Source organism: Homo sapiens, chromosome 10, assembly GCF_000001405.40.
Source record: "Homo sapiens chromosome 10, GRCh38.p14 Primary Assembly".
NCBI lineage: Eukaryota > Metazoa > Chordata > Mammalia > Primates > Hominidae > Homo > Homo sapiens.
Genome location: NC_000010.11, coordinates 65,714,670 through 65,742,141, shown reverse-complemented (window position 1 = coordinate 65,742,141; position 27,472 = coordinate 65,714,670). Strand labels below are relative to the sequence as shown.

Here is a 27,472-nt window from a genome sequence, read left to right as displayed (position 1 = left end):
AGTCACCTCAGTGGAGGAGGATTTTTAATAATCAAGTGGATAGGATGATTCATTCTAAGGTTACCAGTCAGCCTTTTCCTCCAGTTACTCCTGTCATTGCCCAGTGGGCTCATGAACAAACTGGCCAAGGTGGCAGGGATGGAGGTTATGCATGGACTTGGCAACATGACTTTCACTCACTAAGCCCATCCTGGCTATGGACACATCTGAGTGCTCAATCTGCCAACAGCAGAGACCAACACTGAGACTCCGATATGGCATCATTCCCTGGGGTAATCAGCCAACTACCTGGAGGCAGATTGATTACATTGGATTACTTCCATCATGGAAGGGGTAGCATTTTGTTCTTACTTGAATAGACACTTACTCTTGATATGGATTTACCTTCTCTGCATACAATACTTCTGCCAAAAGTACCATCTGTGGACTTACAGAATTCCTTATCCACCATCATGGTCTTCTACACAGCATTGCTTCTGATCGAGGAACTCACCACAAAAGAAATATGACAGTGGGCCTATGCTCATGGAATTCACTGGTATTATCATGTTCCCCACCATCCTGAAGCATTAGCCTTCACAGAAAGGTGGAAGAGCCCTTTGAAGACTCATAGTGCCATCTAGGTGGCAAGACCTTGCAAATCTTGGCAGTGTTTTTCAGAAGACTGTATATGCTCTGAATCAGTTTCTAACATGTTTTTCCCATAAGGATTCACAGATCCAAGAATCAAGGGATGGAAATAGAAGTGGCACTTCTCACTATCATTCCCAATGACCCACTGGCAAAGTTTGCTTTCTGTTCCCACAACCTTATGCTCTGCTGGCATAATGGCCAGAGGGAAGAATGCTTCCACAAGAAGCACAGCAGTGATTCCACTGAACTGGAAGTTAAGACTGCTGCCTGCTAACTTTGGGCTCCTTGTGCCTCTGAATAAATAGGCAAAGAAGGGAGTTACTGAGTTGACTTGAGTGGTTTATCCTCACTACCAATAGAAATTTGGACTACCACTCCGCAATGGAGAATAAGAAAGCATGTCTATGAGTATTAGCATGTCCTTTGATTAATGTTGATGGATAATGACAACAACCCAAGCCAGCCAGGACTGCTAATGAGCCATATACTTCAGGAATAAAGGTTTGGGTTCCCCCATTAGGTTGAGAACCATGACCAGCTGAGGTGCTTACTGAAAGAAGACAAAGGAAAAACAGATTGAATATTGAAAAGGATAATTATTAATACTAGCTATGACCATGTGACCACTGAAAAAGTGAGCATTGTAACTGTCATGAGTATTGCTCCTATTTTGTTGTTTCCATTTGTGTGTGTAATAAATATCTTTGTTTTTTTTCTTGTCTTATTCCCTTATAATCTAAGATGTATTAACTTTATATCATATTAGTTAAGTATAGTCTATTTTACCTCATAGTATTTATATTACAAGATATCAAAGAGAATACTAAATATTACTCACGTACTTTATCTCCTTTTCTAGGAAGGAGTTGGTGTGGTTTTGGTTGTGCACAGGATCACTGTGTCACATTAGGCAGAATCGTGACCCAGTTACTCTCTTTATTTGGAGATTACTTGTGGTTTAAGGAGACACAGATGAATGCCACGTTGAAAAAGGGTAGACTTTTAATAGTTAGGTTTATGTATTATCTTGACTGAGTCATAGGATGCCCAGATATTTGGGTAATCATTATTTCTGTCTGCAAGAGTGTTTATGAATGAGATTAGCATTTGAATCAGTAGGCTGAGTAAAATATATTGCCCTCAATGTGGGTGAACAATATTCATTTCCTTGAGTACCCAAATAGAACAAAAGTATGAAGGAAGGGAGAATTCACTCTCTTTGCCTGACTGTTGGGCTGGAATATTGTTCTGCTGTACTTGGGCTGAAATTTAAAATAGCAGCCTTCCAATTCCTAGGACTTTGCTCTAGATTTGGGTTAGAATTTATACCATTGGTTCTCTTGGTTCCCATGGATTCATACTCAGATGGAACTACACCATCACCTCGCCTGGGTTTGTAGCTGATAGACAGCAGATCTTGGGTCTTCTCAGCCTTCATAATTCTGTGGACCAATTTCTTATAATAAATCTCTCTCATAATAAATTGATATACAAAGTTTATATGTATAATATATATTATATATAAGCCTATGTTAATTATATATAATATGTTAATATAAATTAATGATATATAATATATAAATTGTATCTAAAGTATATATTAATTATATATAATATATAAATTATGTATATTCTCTATGTATTAAATATATATTATATATAAGCTTTGTATATATTTAAGATATATTTATATATATAAGGGTTTCTATATATATAATGTCTTTTTTGGGTTCTGTTTCTCTGGACAACTATAGCAGTCTACTAGAGACTGAAAAATAGGAGCTTTCATCATTTGATTTTATTTTCTTCAATAGTTTCATTTTTAAATGAAATTATTTTATTGACATCTTTTTCATTCACAATCATTTTTCTTGCCTTTTGTTTCTTTCTATCAGATAAGAATGATTAATTGGCTTATGCAATGAAAGTTTCCATATAAAAATGCATAGAACAAAACATATCAAGTATTGGTTTTTGAGTTTCACAATGGAATTTTGAAAATCATTTTTTCTAAAGAGCATTATTTCTCAAGAAAACATATTTTGTGTTACAAAAGCCATAGCCTAGAATAGCTATGGACATAAATGTATTTTATAAATTAATACTAAGCAAGAATACTTCAGTAATAGCCAAACAAACAGAGAAAGGGTAGAAAATGTGGAGTCTCATGCCCCCCAAAAAGTTAATCATTTCTACGTATGCCTGAGAAAAAGGTTTCTAACCTGCTGTACCAGGGTTAATTCCTGGGGTAGAGATAGATGAGTTGAAGAATAAAATCCGAGAGGTAGTTGTGGGGCTTAATTTGTATGGAGTTTGTGACCAGATTCCCAAATGGATTTTCAAAGAAAGGACTCCTACACACTTGACTCTCTCGGAGGAGTAGAGTAGAAAGTATAATACAGTGTATATAAATTATGGGGAGCTGATAGTTTTAAATTTCCTCACAGCCTCAGAGAAGAGCAGGAGGGCAATAAAACACTTTCCATGTCCCCTAGTGGTGTATCAAATTAACTGAGAGTGCATAAGGTCTAAAGTGACTGTGTAGCTATGGTCAAAAGAATACAGCTGTGATCCACATGGGCCTTTTGTTGTTGTTGTTTTGTTTTGTTTTTTTCTGAGATGGAGTATCGCTCTGTCGCCCAGGCTGGAGTGCAGTGGCGCAATCTTGGCTCACTGCAACCTCCGCCTCCCAGGTTCAAGAGATTCTCCTGCCTCAGCCTCTTGAGTAGCTGGGATTATAGGCACATGCCACCATGCCTGGCTAATTTTTGTATTTTTAGTAGAGGCAGGGTTTCACCATGTTGTTCAGTCTGGTCTTGAACTCCTGACCTCGTGATCCGCCCGCCTCGGCCTCCCAAAGTGCTCGGATTACAGGCGTGAGCCACCGTGCCCAGCATTGCATGGGCCTTTTGAACTGAGAACTTGGGAACTTATGGGAACTTGGATGCCCAGCTAGTACCAGCATGGATAATGATGATAAACAAAATGTCCTCCTTGTAAGCCATTCTCTCCAGGAAATTAGCTTTGATTCCTAGAAGAGGTGATGTCCTAAGAGTGGATACTTGTATACAATAAACATAACTCAATTAACTCAGACTAAGTTACTTTCTTCTGGTGGAATGAAAACTTGAATTATAAATGGATTCTAGTTAACAAAAAGAAAAAAGATAGCTATTAATGTTTCTTAAAAGCCAAGATTTTTGTCCAAGAAAATTTATGTTCAATATAAAGGGATTTCATGCATAGAAAATTTATCTGTTACGTTTTTTAATTATAAAAAAAGCCTGATAATAACTTCTCTTCTTTGTGTCTTCAGTTTGTCTTGAAGATTAAAAAAGAGAAACAAAAAATCTAAGTGCTTGGACTAGCTAATGACTTCTCTGTTTATTCCACACAATGCCCTTCCCAGATAGGATGTGACAATTGGTTGTTTTTCCATTGTAGTTTTTGCTACAATAAAATTGAGGGTTAGGGATGGGATATAGCTAATTTCCCCAAGACTCTTGAACTGAAGCGTGTGCCTGGGCTTATCCAGTCCCTGCTTATCAAATGAGCTTGCAGTCACTATCAAATTCCCTAGAAGATCACATTTTTGTGATCAATTTTTGACCCAGAGGCTACAATATAGATGTTTTCATCAGCAAGCAATATGACACCACTCTTCATGTTCAAAAGGCTCAATTTTTATCTAAGTCCATGTGTAAGGCTATTGAAAAACATAAAGTTGTTTTATAATTTTTGTTATTTAGAAACTGGAAAGCAATGGCAATATTATTTTTAGTTAATACCAACATCATTTTAAGATTGAAAATGATGCAAAAATTCCAATAATATTTCTATAGAGAGAATTATACTTGATTTGTCCCTAGAATATCAAGAAGGCTGAAGTAGCTAAAACAAAATGAGAGATATGGAGAATTAGGCCAAAACTGGGGACCAAATGGGGTGTCCAGATTCTGTAGAAATGAATAATCCATGAAAACTTTAAATTATAAAATCAAAAAGAAGCTATTAGATTATTTAAACTGTGAAATGATATGATTGACATGTTTAAGAATCACCCTGGCTGCTAGGTGAAATATTGACAATGGAGGATACTGCTGAAGTGAATAAGCCAGTCAGGACTTCATTGCAATGGTCCAAGTAATTGATATTGCTACTAAATTTGTAGAGAAGAGAGTAATATTGAAATCTAGAAATCTTTTTCAAATAGAATTGTAAAGATATTTGCTTTTTGTATATATTGAAAAACAATGTTGTATTAGTACAAACATTGATAGATAAGTAAATGATTTAGAAATCAACGGTGTAAGAATTGATAGAATAAAAGGATGGCAGTATATATATATATATATTCCAAATTAATTAAATACAAGAAATATTGAAAACTTTCCGAAAATTAGGAAACGATTTTGGAAAAAAAAGTGATATACTCATCTGTCTTAGATTGTTTGGGTGTCTACAACAAAGTACCATGGACTGGCTGGCTTATAAACAACAGAAATTTACCTTTCATGGTTCTGAAGGCAGAAGTCGAAGATCAATGTGCCGGCAGATTCAGTGTCTGATGAGGGCTCATTTCCTGTTTCATAAATGGAGTCTTTTCACTGCCCTCAAAAAGGTGGAAGGGCACGTCAGTTCTCGGGTGTCTCTTTTATAAGGGCACTAATTTCATTCTAAGGCCTCTACCCTCCAGCTCTCAAAAGGCCCAATCTCCTAATGCCACCATCACCTCAAGGATTAAAATTTCATATGAATTTGGGAGAGGGGAAGGCAAACTTTCAGACTGTAGCATTATATCTGACCAAAAATAAGATGCAGGTATAATAATTAATAATTTTAAAACATATAAAGAAGAAAAAATGGTGTTTGTATATGATTTTTGTGGTAGAAAACACAAAATATATTTCCCACACAAATTAATAGTTTCCTAAACATATTAGTAGTTTTAAGGCCACACACTCATGAAAAATTTTAAAACATTTTAGGTCAAAAATAAAATTAAAAGGTACCTGTAGAATAACAAAACCTTTAGACCAACATGACAAATAACCATAATCTTTTTTATACTAAATTATCTTACCTGGCACTAAAACAAATACTAACTTAGCTATTGCAAAAAAGAAAGCTGGGCATGGTGGGGCAAGCCTGTGTTTCTAGCTACTTGGAAAGCAGAGATGGGAGGATTGCTTAAGCCCAGGAGTTCAAATCTGCAGTGAGGGTGTCTCTGCACTCCAGCTGGGTGACAGAGTGAGATCCTCCCTCTAAAAAAAAAAAAAAAAAAAAACAAAAAAGAAGAAAAAAAAAATAAAGAAAACTAAAATATTATAAAAATAAAATTATTTATCAAAATGCACATAAAAATCCAAACCCCTTGCTTATTAAATGTATGCAGATGAAAGCAGCAATGTTATATGATGATGATGTGTCCAATTTTCAAAATACTAATTCTCTCATAAATACCTAATGGAAATGTCAGTTGATATGGGCTTTTTAGAGACCAATGAGAATGTTTTAAAATTACGTTTGTATTTTTTATTGAAAAGAAAGAACATATTCAAGAATATTTTTGAAACTATTATATTGAAACATTGGAAATAAACACTTAGGTGGCTTTAAATAAAGTATGGCACAACTATAGGATAAAATATTAACCATTAAAATATATGGTTTTCAATGAGTATTTAACCATACCCATTGACACAGAAAATGCATGGGTGACAGACAATCCCTGAATGCAATGTTACAGATAAAATGCAGAATTTAATATGATTTTAGCCACATTAAAATCATGCATGTGCTTAGATAAGGAAATGTGTACAGTAGCACTATATAGAGAGTAAAATTTGCACTGCACTCAGATTACCACGGTTTAAATCCCAGATCTGAAACTTGCTAGCCATGCTATCTTGGATAATTTATTCTGTGTGACCTTGGCTGGGTTAATATGTGCCTAAGGTTGCTTCTACATAAAAGGGAATAATAGTAGTACCAGATGCTTTGGGAAAATAAGTTACAAAATTTCTGTGACAATATTCAATAAAAGAGAGCCAATAACAGTGTTTTATATTTTGTACGCAATTTACATTTTGTATATAGCAAACATTTCTCTACCCAAGTTAAAAAATCAAATATTTACTGCACTTTGAAAACCTTTTTCTACCCTTCCCTCATCATATTCCTTACAATTTCTTTCCAAAAGCAGTCATTCTAATTAATTTTACATTAATCTTTCTTTTGAGTTATATCTAAATTGCTTTTTTTTTTTTTTGAGACAGGATCTTGCTCTGACACCCAGGGAGTGCAGTGGTATAATCATGGCTTATTGTAACCTCAAACTTCTGGGCTCAAGCAATCTTCCTGCCTCAGCTTACCAAGTAGGTAGGACTATAGGCATGTGCCACCACAGCTGGCTAATTTTTAAAATATTTTTGTAGAGACAGGGTCTGGCTATGTTGCCCAGTCTGGTCTCAAACTCCTGGCCTCAAGCAATCCTTCCACCTTGACCTCCCAAAGTGTTGTGATTACAGGGTTAAGCTACTGTGCCTGACAGTGGTTCATTCTTTTTTTTTTTTTTTTTTTTTTGAGACTGAGTTTCACTCTTGTTGCCCAGGCTGGAGTGCAATGGCACGATCTCGGCTTACTGCAACCTTTGCCTCCTGGGTTCAAGCAATTCTCCTGCCTCAGTCTCTTGAGTAGCTGGGATTACAGGCATGCGCCAGCCCAGCTAACTTTGTATTTTTAGTAGAGACAGGGTTTCTCCATGTTGGCCGGGGTGGTCTTGAACTCCCAACCTCAGGTGATCCTCCTGCCTCAGCCTTCCAAAGAGCTGGGATTACAGGCGTGAGCCACCACGCCCGGCCCCGTGCTTCATTCTTAATATTACATTTTTAGGATTCATCACAGTTGACACATATAGCTTGTGGATCCATTTTCACTGTGCATAGTATTTGCTGAATGAATATATGCTAAATTGTTTATTCTAATAGTGATGACATTTAGGTTGTTTGCATGTTTTGAGGTATTACAAAAAATGCTGCCATGAACATTTCTAGTGCTGGTCTCCTGTGTACCTATGTCAAAATGTCCCTAGTTACCTCCCTAGAATTGGAATTGCTAGGTTGTAGGTAAGACACATGTTCACTTCACTGACCTCAGGTTCTCCTTGGCCTTTGGCTCCACTGATTTCCTTTCTTTCAGTATTTACTTTGTTGGTATCCCAGAGAACCATCACTAGATGGCCTAGCCCTCTTCCCATCTCAAACACACACTTCCACTCTCAAATACACACACAGACAGCAAGACACTCTCCTGAAAGATATAAAGACAGTACTAGGCTACTCAGAATATTCAAAACAGAGACACTTGCAGGAAGTGAAGATTTCCTTGCAGTGCCAAGTGTTTCAAATTAACATACGTCAACCAGAAAATGGTGTATTCAAACTACACTTTTGTAGAATCCAAGTGGTCCATCTAGCTCACACATTTCACATTTTAGGTTATTGGTGTTGAAAGTTCTCTTATCCCCCTCATAGAGCATGCAGTGGGGGTCTGGCTTACTTCTTCAGTGCCCTGTGGCTCAAACCTCTGCGTGGAGCATGCAAATGGGTAAGGCTGTGGGGCTCTGACCCCATGGGGGCGTGCAGGGGTGAATTATAGCTTCTGAAGCCCCAGTGAGCGTGTGTTATAGGGTACTCTTTTAGTTTAGCCACCCATAGTTGGCTTGTGTTAGTCAGCTCGATTAGACCACCTGTCTTATCACAAGGACAAGGCTTTCTGTATCCCAGGGTTTCTTGCCTTGGTGTACCAGAAGAATCAGATCACACATGGGCTTGGAGAATGAGTTCAAAGTTGTATTGAGTGACAGTAGCTCTCAGCAGATGGGGCAGCCAGAAGGGAGATGGTTTTCCCCTGGAGTTGGGCCGCTCAGCAGCACGAACTCTCGTCTGACCACCCTGGTCAAAGTATGCATCATTCCACCAGTCGATGGCCTTCGGGCCTGTTGGTGTGCTCTTCTGCTAACATGCTCTGACATCCAGCCCCTTGTGTCTTCTTTAGTTGATGTGTTCCTCTGGATGTCCAGCTGCTCATGTCTCTGCCCGCTAGGGTCTTGGGGTTTCCATAGGCACAGGATGGGGGCATGGCAAGCAGGGTGGTCTTGGAAAATGCAACATTTGGGCATGAAGGCAGGAGTGCCTGTCCTCACCTAGGTCTGTGGGTATAGGCCCAGGGGTGGAACCCTAGCCAGGGGACCTGCCTTTCTCTACCCAACACTTCCCTGCCCGCTTCTGTATCAGTGTGACAGTCTTCTTCTTTTTCCCACCTATATCCGTGTTTTAGGCACGAAGTAAAAGAAAAGATAATATCTCAAATGGCATATTTTTAGGGCAAGCCCCTTTTTTTGTTTAAGCATAACAGAATCAGTTTATTATCTGCATAATTGTTGATGATATATATGCCATTAATTCATAAAATTCAACCAACTCTCAATGGTTCAACCATCATCAGCATTTCCTTGACTACTTTATGATATGGATTGAGTGGGTTGTATCTTAATTCCAGTTTTGTTTCAATGATACTGGGAGATATGCTCAGGCTTTCAAATTACTGCAGCAATGCAGCTGGAAAAATTAAAGAGATTTTGCTTTGGACCAAGGTAAACAAATCATTTTCACACCCTGTTTTCAGCTTTCATTCCTTCAAAAATATATAGGACAGCGGTTTTTCTTTCTGGTATATTAAGACATTAATTATACTCTGGATGAAAATAAGGAATGTAGAAAAAAATGTGCCAAATATTACTCACTGCATGTGAACACGGATAATTAACAGACAATCCAGACAATATATCTGCTCATAGTCAATATTTTTATCGTATTTTTTTTTGACTGGGAAATGTACACACTTTAGTTTCTCTGGTTCTCTGAATAACTGCCATCTATTTCTAAGCAACAGGAAAAGAATCTATATGAAACTTCTCGAAAAGTACTTTCTGGCCAGGCGTGGTTGTTCACACCTGTAATTTCAGCATGTTGGGAGGCTGAGGCAGGTGGATTACTTGAGGCCAGGAGTTCAAGACCAGCCTGGCTAACATGGCGAAACCCCGTCTCTACTAAACATACAAAAAATCAGTTGGGCATGGTGGCGTGTGCCTGTAGTCCCAGCTACTTGGGAGGCTGAGGCACAAGAATTGCTTCAACCCAGGGGACAGAAAAGAAAAGTACATTCTTTGGACATAGCTTCATTGCAGAAAAAGAAAAAAAATCACATCAAAGCAAATTCATCTCTAACTAAAAATAACTAGGCTATGTTGGTTTAAATGAATTATAATTAAGAAATAAAACAGGAGAACAGATAAAGGAAACAATAGATATCACTTTAGATTGTATGTATTTTAGATAGATGACTATTCTTATTAAGTACACACTATAAAATGTTTATATAATTTTATGAATCTTTTCTCAAAGCAGCACTACTGAAGAAATTCTAGGTTTGCCTTGACCATGCAGAGGGACAATCACATGATTTACCAGAGGGATTTGATGCATGACTTGTGGTAGACTGAAGTATAAAGACCTTAAAGGACAACCCTGGTGATGAGGTCCGGGGTTGGGTGGGGTGCTGAGGAGTTGGGGGATAACCGATGGCAATTGTGCTTACTAAAGATGAGAAATAAAACAAGACACGTCATTTCTATTCAGTAAGAAATAAACTTGACTGAGGGTAACAGAAAATCGAACTAATGAGCAAAACAGACACTTAAAAACTAAGAAAATAGAGGTAAGTAATAAGATTGTGAACAGGAAATTACATAAATTTAATTGGAAACATTCAAACTGAACAAAACAAAGGAAAATATTAAAATGGAGACTGAAAAATTAAAAAAAAACCTATACTATACATAATCATTAGAGCCTACAAAAATAATTTTCATATGTGCCCATGTGTTGAAGTTGCAAGTCGCATCATAGTATGAGGCTGATAAGATATTCTAATTTTAACATTTTAATAATTTAAATATTTTAGATTTATTTGTGCAAGAAATTAATTTAGTGAAAATCTTCTCTCCTTTGCTGTCCAACCATTTATTCACCCATAAAGGCAACACATAATATCACTTTTTTATACATTCTTTCATAGATATTCTATTCATCAACAAGTAAATGTATATGTATTTATTTTCCCTTATACAAACAAATGGTAGAATAATATATTATGCACTGGTCTACATTTTGTTATTTTGTTCAATTGATATATCTTGAATATAGTTTATATAGACTTTTCTTAGTCTTTTAAAAAGTCATATAGTGTTATGTTTTATATAACATATTTATTAAACAATTAATGAACCTTAAGTTTTCTAGTTTTCTATTGATTTTACAAGTGATAATGCATATATGTTAAATAAATATGAATGATACATTTCTGAGGGAAATTGCTTTGTCAAATAGCATGTTTATTTGTGATTTTGATAAATGTTGCTAAATTGCTTTTTGTAGAAATTTTACTAATTTGCATTATCATTTGCAATACATAATAGTGCCTATTTTCCTACGTCATTTCCAATGTATTGTGCTATCAGTTATTTGTTTTTTCTCAATGTAATAGATAAAAATTATATCTCAATGTAGTTTTATATGCATTTATTTTATTGTGGATAGGATGGGACTTGTTCTTATTAAGATACATTTTTATTCATTTTCTATGAATTTTCAGATTTTTTCTATACTATTTTTGACTTGTTTACCAGATTTTTCACCAGGAACTCACTGGTGTCTTCCAAACATATTTTATATCTGGGAGAAATTGTCACCTCTAATTACTCTCTATTTTTAGAATTTCCCTGGAAATTCTTGCTATTTATTTTCCATATGAACTTTAATATTGGCTTATATAATTCCAATTATTCTAGCAGTGTTTTAACTGGAATTGTAATAAATTTAGTGCATTAACTTAAAGAAAATAGTTGTGAAGGTTAATTTTACATGTCAGCTTGGAGGATGTCTTTAGATGAGATTAACATTTAAATTGGTGAACTCTGGATAAAGCAGATTCCCTCCTTAATGTGAGTGAGCCTCATCCAATTAGTTGAAGGTTTGAACAGAACAAAAACCGTGGCCTCCAGAGCAAGAAGAAATTCTCTAGCCTACCACCTTTGAACTTGATCTGCACCATCAGCTCTCCCTGGTCCCCCACACTGCATTATTTTGGAATTGCAAGCTTCCGTAATTACATGATCCAATTCCAATTCCTCATAATAAATATTTGTGTGTGTGTGTGTGTCTGTGTGTGTAGAAGGAGAAAGAGAGAAAGGAGACAAGGAGAAAGAGAAAGATAGAGAAATATACAAAGAGACACACATCCAGTGGGTTCTGTTTCTCTGGAGAGACTTGACTAATGCAATAGTCACATACATCAGGCAGTCAAAAGAATGATGCTTTTTGTCTCTTTCTGCTTTTCTTTTTAAGTTTATCCCTAGGTACATTATGTCTTTTCTTCATTTCACACTTGACCCTTCACACTTTCTACCTAGCACTTCAATTTGCTACTTTCTATTTTTTACTCCTATATTCAACAATGTCAAGTGTCTTTCCATTTACCCGAATATCTCTGTCTTTTTGCTTTTTGTTGTATTTTCTACTTCTCTATATATTGTACACTCAGATATATGGAGCTATTTTATTGCCTTTTAGGAAAATTATGATAAGATAAAAGCAATATCATCAACATTTACCTTCTTATTTACTATTTTATATGCTCTTCTTTTATTTCCCCTGTAGATCGAGATTCTACCTGGTATCACCTCCCTTCAATCTGAAGAACATGCTTTAGCATTTCTTGTAGTGCAAGTATACAACTTTAATTTGTCTGAAAAAAATCCCATCACCCTCATTTTTAAAGAAAACTTTCAGTGAGTACAGGATTGAATTCTTTGTTGACACATTCGATCATTTTGTTGATCTCAAAGTTTACTTACTCTTCTGTCATCTCCAACGTACTATTAATCTTATCCAGTGAATTTTTAAAAATGTATTATAGTTTTTCATTCTGAATTTATTTTATTTGGTTCATTTTTATAGGTACTATTTCTCTGCCTAGGACCCTTATTAATTCACTCATTAAGATTATATTTAATTTTTTCTTTATTTTTTTTTACTTCTTTAAACCTTTTTATAACACGTTTTTAGATCTTTATCAGCTAAATATATTTCAGATATCTTAGGGTCCATTTCTGTTGACTGCTTTTGTTCTTGATGAGTGTCACATTTTCCTGTTTATTTGCATGTCTTGCCATATTTTATGGTATATTGGGCATTCTTGATTTGTGGAGATTCTAGATTCTAGTAACTTTCTCTGAAGTACATTTATTTTTGCTTTAATAGGTATTTCAGTTTTTGGCATGTCGCCTTAAACTTGTGTAGCCTTGTCTTTGAGCTTTTTAAAGGGTAGAAGTGTAGAAATAGTGTTTTCTCTAATATCCTTTAACTTTAGAGGATTCCCAACCATTTTCTCCCCATAACATTTTACCAGAAGTTTTTTTTTTTCTTCCATAAGTGTGTGTGTGTGTGTGTGTGTGTGTGTGTGTGTGTATGGGTGTGTGTGTGTTTAAGGAGGATCTAGAGTAGGCCCTATTGTAGGGTGTGGTTCATACTTCTAAGGTACAGCCTTCTGGTATTTCATTTAGATGTCTGTGATGTTAACATGTTAACAAAGTCTCAGTTGAATTAGATCTCTGATATTTCCAATCCCATCCCAATAGCAGATACTTCCTAGTAAGCCTCATTTAGTTGTACCTTGCATGTGCTCAGCACAACCCTTGCTCAAGGTTTCATGAAGACCCTTCACATACAGTTCTCAGACCCTCACACATCCAGTGTCCTCCTCTCCACTTTGTTCCCGATAGATTAGAGCTATGTTAGCTCCCCCAAACCCTATGACTGCTTTTGCAGCTCTACAGGAACAACAGGCTCTGAGCCTGGCATCCAGCTCACTGTGCTGCAGCTATGTAACTTTTCCTAGGCAGTTATGATGCCCATTTGTAATATTGTCTTCTTTCAGTGATCTGTGTGTTATACTATCTACTGCCTATGATACTTTCCTAAACAATTTTTCTCAGTTGTTTTTCCTGGTGTGTTTTATACTAGGAGATTTCAATGAGGTACTAAAAAGAAAATCTCTGCTTTAATTTTTACATTCATATTCTCAATCCATTGAGAATATATTCTTGTGTGTAATATAAAAAAGAATAATTTTTCTGCTATCTTTTTGTTTTGGTATAATTTTAAGCTTTCAGACATTTGTATATTATTAGTTTTTTTAAAAATAGTTGTTTATCACAGAACAACTTAAAGTAATTCTTTTTTACTATTTATTTAACATGTTGCCTTTTTATGATTTATTTCCATACAAAATTGAATCAATATCTGGATTTCTATTCTGTTCCTTTATATACCATGTCACAGTGTTTGAATAGTGGTAAGACCTTCTCCCTTCTCATTGTTGTTCTTTTTTTGCAGTATTTTTCTAGCTATTCTTGCCTTGGTTGTTCCTCCACGTGAACCTAATAATCACTTTGTTTTGCTGTAGTAAATAAGAAACACAGTGATGTTTTTAATTTAGAGAACAAAATTTATAAATAATAAACTATAATTATATATATTTATTATAAGTTAATGTGGAGAATGTTTAACATCTTTATAACTTTAAGTCTTTTGTCAAAAAAATGGTAATTTTTTTCATTTTACAAAATGTATTATCTTGTGTATGTTTTTTCAATATTTTAGAGTTTCTTTTTGTAAGTTTTAGATTTTTTCAATGTATACATGACATTTTATCTTACCTCTAAAAATTTTTGCCATTGCAAATGGGGTCTGCTCTTCATTATGTATTCTGTTTTTTTTAATATACATGAGGGCTATTAATATTTGTATGTTGATCTTATAAATGAATTCATTAAATTCTCTTGCTGATTTTAGTTTTTCCACATATTCTTTTAAATTTTCCACCTATAACAATATAATTTTCAAATAAATATATTTGTTTTAATTATTAGGACTCTACTTGCTTTCTTTTGCCTATTGTATTGGCTAATAGAGTAATACAGTAATAGTGAAGATGGCAGCATCTATGTCTAATTCCTAACTTTAACACAGTTATTTTTTAAAACTCTTGTTAAATTTCTGTTATTATTTTTAAATGCATAGTCTACCTCTGCAGGAAATAAAAATGATGACAAATATTTGGTTTTCTTTAATGACGTGGGGTCTAAGCTCCCTTCCTTTGAACCTAAACTATTATATGACTGCTTTGGCTAATTGATTACAATAGAAATAATGTTTTATCAGTTTCTAGGCTTAGTATTTTAGAGGATGGCAGTTCTAAGCCACAGTGAAGAAAATGTAGTTACTTTCCTGGGGAGAATGCCTAGAGAGGTACAGGAAATGAATGGCACCCGGGTGATTCGCTGTCAATCTTCTTTATGGCAATATACCAGTTATATGAGTGAAATTGTCATAATATCTTCCAGACCAGCCCAGATATGAGATGAATACTCTGAGTGATCATAGTCAATGATATGAAGAATTGATATATTCTCCAACAAAGTCCTGCACTATATTTCTGACCCACACAATCATGAGATAATAAATTGGTTGTTTTGTAAGTTTTGAAGTAGTTTGATACATAATGATAGATAGACACCATGGAAATAGCAATATGCTTATCCCTGTATTTCTTTAATATAATTCATTATATTAATATATTTCATAATATTAAAACACCCTTTCATTCTTGATTATTAAACATAATTATTTTATTCTTTTTGCTATTTAAAATTATTTAATATTTTAATGCTAAAATTGCAATATTTTTACAGTATTATAATCAAAAATCAGATTTTATATTTTAAATTAGAATTTAAGATTTTTTTGTGAAATATTTGTCATATTTTCAAATTAAAGTCATGCTCACTTCATGGAAATGATTAGATAGTTCTTTCCTTTTCTGTGATGTGGATAGTTTGAGATTGTCTATTCTTGAATAGTTTTGTTGATTTGTTCTAGAAAAATATAATATGGAGAGACTTTTTGACTATATTCATTATTTCTTCTCTTTTTGAGAATTTTTTAAGACTCTGCCTCTACTGAAGACAATTTGGTAAATTTTATTTTCCTACAAAATTATTAATTTCTTGGATTTTCAAGCACATTTGCAAATTGTTAGAAAAGTTGTTTTCTATGTTTTTATAAAATTTCTTTTTTTACATGACATTTTACCTTATAATTTCAAATATTGGTATTAGCACTTTCTTCTCTTTCACTTTTTAATTAGGGTAGCTAAGTGTTTTGTTTTTTAAGAGGCAGCTTCTGGAATTGTTACTTTGCCGATTTATACCTTATTAAATTTTGCTTTTATTTTTGTCATTACTTCCTTCTGCTTTCTTTCAACCTATTCTGTTGAATTTTTTTTATATTTTTAAATTATGTTTTATAATCAAATTATGTTAAGTTTTATTGATATAGGCATTTGATGCGATGCATTGTCTCTAGCTAACTGCTTCATAAAGAACTTGGAAATTATTTTAAGTCATGCTTTTTATAATTTTAATTTTAAATAGTTTCTGGGGAAGTGTGGTTTGCTTCACATACTATATTGCTGATGCTACTGTCTTACTGCCAACCTCTCAAGCTTGCTTTGAAATCATGGTAGTGTTATTTTGTTGTTGTTCTTATTGAATGGGTGCTCCAAGTCACAATCTGCATAAAATGCTTGACCTGTTTCAGGTATTATCTTTTAGTGGGGACAGTTGTCCTCTTTTGTGTTTCATCAAGTAAGTCACCCCTGAAAAAACTGCCTTCTACAGACTTATATCCAAATGCTTCAAGGAGGAAAAAGATTCAGAGAAGAGTGTTTGATCTGAATAAAAAGAAAAGTACTTAGGGAATTAGAAATAAACAAATTTTCCAAAATATAAAAGGAAGGTTAGTAATATTTCTATATTTTTCAAGGAGAGATATGATTTTTTTAATTGATACACATGGAACTAAATGAATATATCTGACATTGTTCAATATATATTTTTATCACTATTAGTATCATTGCATATCTGGACCCAGTCTTTCATATTTTTTTAATTTTTTAAATACATTAAAAAAGTTGAAAAGTCAAACACTTTAAAAGGATATACATCTTATATATCACTTATGGTGAAACCGAGATATTTACTTGGTAACTCTTAGATTTACATTTTCATATTTGTTTTTCTCTTTTCCATATGTGCAAAAAATACAATGCTGAAAAAGAAATATTCTTGATGTAGTGATGTGATTCATAAGCCTTCTGTTTTACTTCTAGATTTTTTACATTGATTTCTTTTACTTGGCTTAATAGTACATTTAGCAAACATAATCTTAAAAATTATTTTAAGAACAAAAGTCATGTGCTGATTTTTCTTTTTGTTGTTGTTGTGATTTAGATTTATTTTTTTTCCTGGTTTTCTTTCTTTGGAATTTCAGTCTCTAGAAATTAATCCATTTTTAACCTAGGTCTTTTAGCAAATTTGTAAACATTTTAGGCCCTAGGTAAAGCATTAAAAGCCTGTCTAAGGGATCACTGGGAAGGTAGGTAGAATTCCTGAATTGTCTTAATGTTAATTATTTTCTGTTCTTTATTGTCATATACTGTGACGTTTTCTACAATAAAATAAGAAAGTTTTAAACCATGTTTTAAAAAGATTAGCAAACCCGCTTTTGAAGAGCTTGCTCAGTATACTTCAGTCATCTGGACCTCCGTAAAACAAAGAACTTGAACTAAACGATATGAGAATTCTTCTGTGCAATCTTATGGTTTCTTATTTGAGAGGTAGAAATTTAAAGCTGCTCTTATCCTATTGCAATTAGCAAAATGAAATGAGGTGAACACAATAGATAGTTATTTACCATAGCTCCTAAAATCAACATCCAACCAAAGGCTTAATTTTGCTTTTTTTAAAATTCCTATCTCATTGGGAAATAAACTTGAAATCACAAAATGGGTTCATGATTAAAGAATCCCAGTCAACTCAAACACAGTCAGGTGTTAATGTACGACTCTACCAAATTTATGTGTCTTTAAATTTATTTGATTTCCTGAATATGTTTATAATGTTCTATATTAATCTTTGTTTTCGAGTTCTGGAATTGAAATCTGTCTGCCCCATTCCTGTTCTCTCTCTTTCCTGCTATCGGCATCACATTTCAGGCAATCTTGAAATTATCTGTATTCCACCTTCATCTTCCATTAATGTTTATCCAGTAATTCATATGTCCTAGAGAGTCCACCACCCAAAGTTTGTACCAATTTCCAAAAATAAATCTAAAATTCTTAGTGTAGTACTAGTGTCCACTCAGATCTATGTCAATTTGCCTTTATAGCTTTCTTCAAAGCAAGTTTCCCATCATTTGCCAAAGATGCCTACTTTCTCTTCCCTGATGTAACTTTCCTTCTACTCACTACACTTTGACCTTTATTAACATATCCCCTTTCACCTGAAATGCGTTCCACTGTGTTCTACTTTCAACATTCCACAAAGGATCTGGTTTGGTTCTGTGGCCCCACCCAAATCTTAGCTCAAATTGTAATTCCCATGTATAGGGGCAGGACCAGGTGGGAGGTGATTGGTTCATCAGGGCGGTTTCCCCCATGCTGTTCTCGTGTTAGTGAGTGAGTTCTCATGAGAGCTAATGGTTTAAAAGTGTAGTACTTCCCTCCCATCCTGCCACCGTGTAAGATATGCCTTACTTCCCCTTTGCCTTCTGCTATGACTGTAAGTTTCCTGAGGCCTCCCCCGCCTTGCAGAACTCTGAGTCAATTAAAACTCTTTCCGTTAGAAATTACCCAGTCTCAGGTAGTTCTTTACAGAGGTGTGAAACGAACTGATAGAACAAAGCAACCTCCAGTTCATATACCACCTCCTTTGTCTTGGACACTCTTAGCTAAAGATAATTTCTCTTTGCTATATGCTTTGACATTTTATTTTCCGTCTATTTGTTAATTTGTGTTCATTTTGCCCATTTAGAACATGAAGGCTCACTAGATGTTCCTGCCACATGTGCACATTCATGTTTTCACTTAATCTCCACAATGATATTGAAAAATTGGGCCTATTATTATAACGTTAAAGATGAGACAAATGAGTCTCAGAAAAGTGATCTAAATTGCTAATGGTGAAACTACTAGTAACCACAGTGGCAGAACTTATACTCATGTCCTCTGAGCACACATTGTGTGCTTTCTCCACCTTATTTCTATTACTGTAATTCCCAGCAACTCTTTATTATAAAGGAGCATTCTCAGAGAAATTGTTTTTTCGAAATAAAAATCTTCAAGGAATAAGTGCCATAGGAAAGCATAATCAGCTGTTCCCTGAGAAAGTTTAACCATTCCATCAATATACCAGGTATCCAGCATAATACTATGTCATATAGAAGGCATATGAGACATAATTTCTACATTCTAAGAACTTAAAACTAACTGGGAATATTTGGCCGACCTTAACAAAAATGCAATATATTATATTCTCCTTCAATTTATTTATTTAGTTATTTATTTATTTTATTTTATTTTTTTTTGATACAGAGTCTTGCTCTGTCACCGAGGCTGGAGTGCAGTGGCCCGATTTCTGCTCACTGCAAACTCTGCCTCCCAGGTTCAAGTGATTCTCCTGTCTCGGCCTCCCACGTAGCTGGGATTACAGTCATGTGCCACCACACCTGGCTAATTTTTGTATTTTTAGTAGAGACAGGGTTTCACTATGTTGGCCAGGCTAGTCTCGAACTCCTGATCTCAAGTGATCCGCCCACCTTGGCCTCCCAAAGTGCTGGAATTACAGATGTGAGCCACTGTACCTGGCCTTTCAATTTAATAATTTTAATTATTCCTTCTGCTACTGAATAAAAGCCATTTGCAGAAAATATTTTTATTATTGTTTCAGAAAATATAATATACTATATCATAGCCAAAGAAATTCAAGAAATTTTAACAGAGAGAAAAAAATATATATCATTTGAGCAAAAGAGAAAGAGTTTGTCTAAGTAGTAAAGAATAATTTAAACATAAGCATGTAGTCTTTGAATAATTACGATGCCTCTTTGTTGTAATCTCCAAAGAGGAAGGTATAGGCTGACAGCGGTTAGTAGTTGGTGAACAGGGATATGAGAGTATTATCAGAAAGTGCAGTCTTATTTTTGCTCTTTTATTTATCATTTTTCTCAATCAGGAGCTTTTGGTTATACTGAATTTAAAATACACTGAAAATCACTTTTAAGACAGAAAACCAGTAAGAGAAAAATAAAAGTAGGAGAGCTTCAAAATATTTGGAAATGACATACTTGTGCAAGAAACTGAAGTTAAGGAAGATAATCCTTGTTTATCCCACATCCTTGATTAAGTATGCAAAGCATATTGTTGTGGATTCATCCAAATATGGCATGTACTTTACATTAGTTCCATATAATAATCTCTGAATGAAGTGGATTGTGTTCCTAAAAAGTGTGAATCTATTATAACCTGAACTTTTAATTGAATGTCATATTTTACACTGTACTCTTCAGTGTCTTTTGCAAAAAATGCCATTATAAAATTTTAAGAAGAGTTTCTCTCTAAAAGTGGTATATCTTTACAGGAATTATTTTGATAAAAAATTGTTAACAAAAGAGTTACCATATGAAGTAAGCCTGTTTGAAATTATTATAGCAATTAAAAGTTTGAGAATTGAATTAAGAAAAGAAAAATGTATATACATATTACTGAGTGTACTTTAATTTATATTACTTTTAGTATTGATACAATTGTTTTCACTTGGAGGCAGCAGTGGAAAAGGTGTCTGAAAATTGCATTAAATGTCCAACAACATTATAGTGTGCAAGTGCTAATTGTGAGATCTTTTACAGGCGCGTACAGTTTCCCTTCTACCTGTGAAGTTTTTATAAAGAGTGTGATGACAACAATGTCATCTCACCTTTCTCCATTTTATCTTAACCTCAAACCTTTCGTAAAGGCAAAGATTTAAATCATATATATTGTGAGGTAACACAATTTTTTAAAGAACTAATATGAATACTTCCCAATTGTAAAAAGAAACAACCAAAAAACACTAAAATAATGTTTTAAATCATTAAAAAACAAATCACTACCTCACAAATTAAACTAAAAGTAATTTTCTTGCAAACCGTGTCCCACAGATAGCAATCCATGAAAAAAAATATTGTTTTAAAAAAAAGGAAGCGGCTAAAACACAAAATAAGCGTAGAAAATTTCTCCTTTCCCCTTTTGAAGATACATGGTACATTTTATCGTATTAAAAGTTAGGACAAATCCTGCTCCAGAAAAGACTTACTGTGCTTTTTAAATCCAATACAGTAATCTCCACTAATCTGTGGTTTCACTTTCTGTAATTGCAGTTACCCACAATCACAGTTTGAAAATAGGTGACCAAAATCTCTCAATCCCCCAAACCCTAGCCTCTGGTAACCATCATTTTTCTGTTTCTGAGTTTGATTTTTTAAAAATTCCACATAATAAGTTAGATCGTGAAGTATTTGTCTTTTTTATTTTATTTTTTTATTTTTTGGCAGGAGGAACCTGCATTTTATTTTTATTTTTTTAAATTTTACTTCAAGTAATAGGATACATGTGCAGAACGGGCAGGTTTGTTACATTTCAGTAACGGAGAAGGAATAAGTTGAAGAGATCTATTGTATATCATGGTGACTGTGGTTAATAACAATATATTGCATACTTGAAAATTGCTAAGAGAGTAAATTTTGTGTTCTGGCCACAAAAGTTACGTCTGTAAGGTAATGCATATTTAAATAGCTTGATTTAGCCATTCCACAATGTATACGTGTATCAAAGCATCATATTGTAAACCATAAATACATGCAATTTTGACTTGGCAGTTAAAAAATAAATTAAAAATTTAAAAAAGAAAATAGGTGGATACAGTACAATAAAATATTTTGAAAGAGAGTGAGAGCGAGTGACAGAGCGCCCACATTCATATAACTTTTATTATAGTATATTTTTATAACTGTTCTATTTTATTATTATGTATTGTTGTTCATCTCTCACTGTGACTAATTAATGAGTTAAACTTTATCATAGGTTTGTAGGTGTCTGAGAAAACAGCATATATAGGGTTTGACATTATACACAGTTTCAGGCGTCCACTGGGAGTACTGAACACATATCCTGTGGATAAGGGAGGGCTACTGTATTTGCCAAACTCATTTTAACTACAAACCAATCTAAGAATATTGTATAGAAATACTATTTTCCACAAAACGCTTGGGTAATTGGTGAAAGAAATGAAGGACTGCTTCTCCTTCAAGGAAAGCCCCATGAGTAATATTGTTCACAATAGATTATTTGGTAATTTGCATATTAAGATTTCAAAGAAATTTTATGTTTCAAAACTGTAAAATGCTGGTATTCTTTTAGGAGTCAAACTTCAGCCCATCCAGCCACCATCTGTTTGCTAAATAAAGTTCTGTTGGAACATGGCCACACACATTTGTTTGTGTATTTTCTACAGCTGCTTTCATGCTGTAACTGCAGAGTTGAGTAACCTATGAAATCTAAAACATATACTAATTGGTGCCTTAAGAATAAAGTTTGCCCATCTCAACTCCATATATTTTTGACAATCAACAGATCAGAAGATGAATTTGTCATATTTTAAAAGTTAAGGTGCACAACTAAAGCATGGGCCATATATGTTCTGTGGAAGCGGGGTCAGAAATATTTTTATGCAAGCTCAAGATAGCACCCAGAAGAAAAATTCTGAGACCAAACATTTTACCACCTTCTATTTTAGATGATTGCACATGGCCATGATAATTTTAGAATGGGAAATTTTCTGATGTATTAATCAATTTTTCCCAGTGATCATTAAAAAAATTTCAATAATACACTCGTAAAATATCTAATTTAAATTGTAGTGTTAATCTTGGTAAGCAATCACGTCATCCCTCCTGACCTTTTCAAATAGAAATGTCATGTGTGTGGTTGCAGATCATGACAAATGAAAAGTAATGTTTTCTATATCACTTATACATTTTGGTATGAGAGCATTAGCCTTGTTTCAAAAGGTCATCTCGTAATTTTTTAAAAATGACATTTATTTTGCCTTTGCAACATCAATTTAAATAAATGTTTATTATGTCTGTCTATCATGAGATCTATTAAGATATAGCTTCCTAGCTCATCAAATTAAAATATATTTTTCATAGAAAAGAAACCGCCTAGATTTCTGGGAGAAATGAAATAATGAATAAAAATATAAAGATAAACTTCCAATATAAGAGGGACCTAAAATGAACTATGAGATATCTACTCATGTCAGAGTCCCTGTATATACACAAATCGTGTCAATAAAAATGACAGGGACAAAGATATACACCATTTTTTTAAAATAAACATTTCTAAAAGCCTTTTCCATTTTTTTTTTCACATCACAATCACTTGAAAATATAGACAAAAGCCTTTTATTCTTATCAGGAATCTACTATATTGTTGCTACTACACATAAATCCTCTCAAATCACCATAACATCCTTTTATTTGAGAACAGCATGAATAACATAGCATCTTCTTGTGACCCAAGTGGAATTCATAAAATTGTTAAGTTCTTTTTCTGAGATAAGTTGTTATTTGGAGAGTCTTTGAGGAGTCTCAAGGATAAAGTAAATGTGAATTTTTATCCAGGCTCTATGTTTTGCTGGTTCAAACAAAACTTCAAAGCCATAGTTTGCTCATCCAAAGGAGGGGTAGAATATTTGCCTTGAGAACAATGGGACTTTTAATACAAAATTAAATGATACCTGCAAAGTAAATATTTCTCTCTGAAAAAACATGGGAAACAAGGTCACAATGGAGAAGTGTACCTATACATTTTGATTCCCTAAAGCGATTGGTAAGCTTTTCTTGAAGACAACATATGTAGTTGGCCCAATTTCTAGATATTCCTTGGCATAAAGACAATGCACAAAATTTAAGAAAAATCCTTGTTTATCATGTTAATAAGAGAATTTAAGCAGATCTGGCTAGGATTAGACAGCCTGGGTGGGGCTCAATCAGCCAGTTCTCAGGAATTAGTCAATCAAGACAAGGAACACGGGGAATCACCAGTCCACTGTGATGAATCGAAAATTCAATATCTTAGATCTGAGGCTTATATTAGGAGTCTGGGTAGAGAAAATTACAAAAGGTAAGATTGTTTCAAGGCAACATTGGAAAATGTATAATTCACAGTGAGTGTGAGTCTATGAACAAAAGAGAAAGGGAGGGGGAGAGAAAGAGAGAAAGGAAGAGAGGGGGAATAGTTACTGCCCCTTCACTTGCAGTTTATTTACTTATAAGCTAGCCCTGCTTACCGAGAGGCTGTGTGAGGCACACCTTGAGACACATCAGAGGGACTGTCAGAAGCCAACAGGAACATCAGAACATCAGGACTATCAGAAGCCATGGAACAGTTCACTCCACTAAGTGGGAGTAATTCTAATTAATACGTGTTTTATATTATTTTATTCTTACATTCAGCAAACTTTTTTACATTTACTTTGAGATAGATACTGGAGATATAAATGTATACATATAGAATTGCTGTTCTCAAAGAGTTTTCAGTCAAAAGAAGAGACAAGCCAGGATACAAAATTACAAAATAATGTCATAAATTGTATTATAGTGTTCTTTAAGCAGAAGGAAATGGAGTATTTCACTCAATCTTTAAAGTCAGGCCAAAAGAAGCTACATTATATGGATCACTATCTCTGGTAGGGTCCAATGATTTAATGCAAAAAATACACAGTACACCTTTTTGGAGTCATGTTATGTCTGCATGTATTCATCCTAAATAAATGAACTATTTTGGAGCAAATATGCTAATTATAGTGTGGTGTTTGTAATCCAACTGCCTATCCATACTGAAATAATAGGAAAGGATTCCAGTTTGCTGCTCAGCATATTATTTACATACTAAATTATCCTGCAGAACGAAAGCCAGTATGTAGGGTATTGGTCTGGTCTATACAAAAAGTGACATTTCAATTAACTTTCTCAGAAGACCACCAACTTAAACTCAGCCTTAAAAATCAAGGGAGTTGGATATGTCAATGTGATATAGTTGAAGGGGAATGAGCAAGACCACATAGTATTCCCATTTTCTCAGTTCTCCACATCTACCTAATAAATGAGATCAATGAATTAAGCTTCAACTTTTGAATAGTATCTTCTATATCTATTTATTGAAAAGGCATTCATGGAACAGTTCATTAAGAGTTTTCTAGTGCCCTGAAGGCCCCCATTTGAAATATCTGTGTACCTACATTCAATTGGGCGTGACCATACAATACTATGATAAAGATAATGGTAGGCAACTAAAGCTTCAACCTTGTGAAAGCTCAGTCCCTGATAGAATATTAAACATCCTCTGGAAACTAATGGAGTTATTTGAGCCATAATGATTTTTTTTGTAAGTAGAATTTTAGAACACATTCTACTGCAGCATTTATTTCTGCCTACCTTAAGTGTGTTCCCACTCTATTAATGGTCAGAATGCCAATTTTTCCTCCTATGTCAATCTAAAAGTGTTATCACTGACAGTCGGCTGTCATCCTAAAATGTACATGTGGTTGATTAGTCATGGTTGCCAAAGTAACCTTCCTGATGTGTGTTGGTTGCTTTTAGGAGTTTATCATTAGACACCTGAAAACCTTGACTGCATGTAAATAATAACAGCTATCGAGATAACATGTCTTTGTGCTTCAAATGGTATTGTCTAGTGTTGAGACTCAATAAATATGTGATAATGCTGAGCTTTTATTCGTGTTTTTAGTCAGTTGCTATCAAAACCCTTGGTAGGAATATATTGATTTTTAATATATTCTTAAAGTTCTACTTTCTAAACAGGGAACTCAAGTTAAAATATTTTATTTATAGCGTTTTATGTCAAACTTCATACAAAATTTTCCTGCAGCATTTGACATTGGTTAAGGCAATTCCCCCCAAAAAGAATCAGTCCTGAAATAATCTCAGGCCTCTAACCTTTCCTCTTCTTTTTTTCTGCTGAGTCTCTGCTCCAAAATTCTGGATCTGCCAGTGATAGGATGAACACTAATGATAGAACCTATACTATTTCCCCTTCCCAAATTTCACCTTTGCTTTTTACTCAGAAAGTTAGGGTCATAGGCTTTTGATATTTTGACTTGTGCTTTTGCTTTGCATCTTCATTTTATCTATCTGTCTATCTATCCATCTCTCTATCTATCTATCATCTATCTATCTACCTTTTTTGAGCCTTGGTTTTCTTATCTATAAAGTTACATAAGGGATTGCTCCAAGAATAAATTGGTGAAAATAAATTTACAGAATTTAATACAGTGCCTGAAACATTTTTAGTTTTAAAATAATTATGTATACTATCAAAAGTGAAATTATCCATTTTTAGTAGAATTAACTGTGGCTTTTTTTTTCTAGCTGTGTTGGTAAATGGTTAATGAACAATAAGTAGCCTTTTAATGAGATACATTAAAATTACTTTAGGAAGGTTTTTTTTTTGCTCTCTAAGCATTATGTAAATTTCTAGCCTACCAAGTTACAAGAATCCTAGCATTTTAGAATGACTATTTTTGGATAAAGGCATTGTGTTTTCAGGGGTCTCTTCTTAAACTACAGTGTACTCAGAGGTGTGGCACATTAAGCTGCTATTTGCTAATAACACTTTAGAAGAAATTAGTTGATGTCACAGTTCGGAAAGCTCCAGCACCATACACTAAGATGAAGTTTTGGGTGCAAAGTATTTATTAGGGATTAATACCTGTGAAAGGTAAAGAAAGAAAGATTGGTTAGAGGAAGAAGTCGTACTCTGATGTATGTCTGTCAAACATTCAGCCAATGTGAGGGAAGAGATCAGGAGCAAGTATTACCTGTCTAGTTGTCCTATTTTGAGCTGAAATGACTGTACCTTTATGTCCCAGCCTTTTATTTATCCAATGTGGGCTGCCCAGGGAAAATCATGACCTCTGGCAAGGCTACTTTCTGAAGCAGAGGCTGATTATAAAGGAGCTGAATGTTGATGGCTGTCTGCTGATCACATTCCTGCAGCATGGCAGTTCTTTCCTGACAGGTGGCGTGTATCTATATCTATCATACTTAGACTAATTAGCTATCTTTTCAGAGAAGTGAACTGGGCCTAGATTCAATGAGATGCCAACAGACGTACATTTTATTGAGAGACTCAAAACAACTGCTTTCAGTGAGTTGATTCACATTTGCTCACATTGTGTGCATCTTACCCACTAGGGAAGCGTAGGTACCTAGATTCATAGAGCAGAGATAGTAAGGATTGTAAAAGAAAAGAGAGAAGCCCCAAAAGGGAAGGATGAGAGAGAATCAGCAGTACATTTCCCTTGCACCAAGTCAACACAGTCACACATACTTAGGGGCATCAATTCTTTTTTTTTTTTTTTTTTTTTTTTTTTTTTTTCAGACAGAGTCTCGCTCTGTCTCCCAGGCTGGAGTGCAGTGGCACAATCTCCGCTCACTGCAAGCTCCTCCTCCCAGGTTCACGCCATTCTCTTGCCTCAGCCTCCCGAGTAGCTGGGACTACAGGCGCTCGCCACCAGGCCTGGCTGATTTTTTGTATTTGTAGTAGAGACGGGGTTTCCCTGTGTTAGCCAGGGTGGTCTCGATCTCCTGACCTTGTGATCTGCCCGCCTTGGCCTCCCAAAGTGCTGGGATTACAGGCGTGAGCCACCGCACCCAGCCAGGCATCAATTCCTTACCTCTTCTATCTTTCTGTTTAG

At 34.5% G+C, this 27,472-nt stretch overlaps 1 long non-coding RNA gene across 1 annotated transcript in view; it reads right to left on the bottom strand.

The window, feature by feature from the left end:
* Window positions 1–27,472, bottom strand: part of LINC01515 (long intergenic non-protein coding RNA 1515) — a 195,117-nt gene that overhangs the window by 24,400 nt on the left and 143,245 nt on the right. The window contains exon 5 of the long non-coding RNA NR_120647.1: window positions 5,143–5,245. This is a non-coding gene — a long non-coding RNA (long intergenic non-protein coding RNA 1515). The remainder of the gene's footprint in view (window positions 1–5,142; window positions 5,246–27,472) is intronic.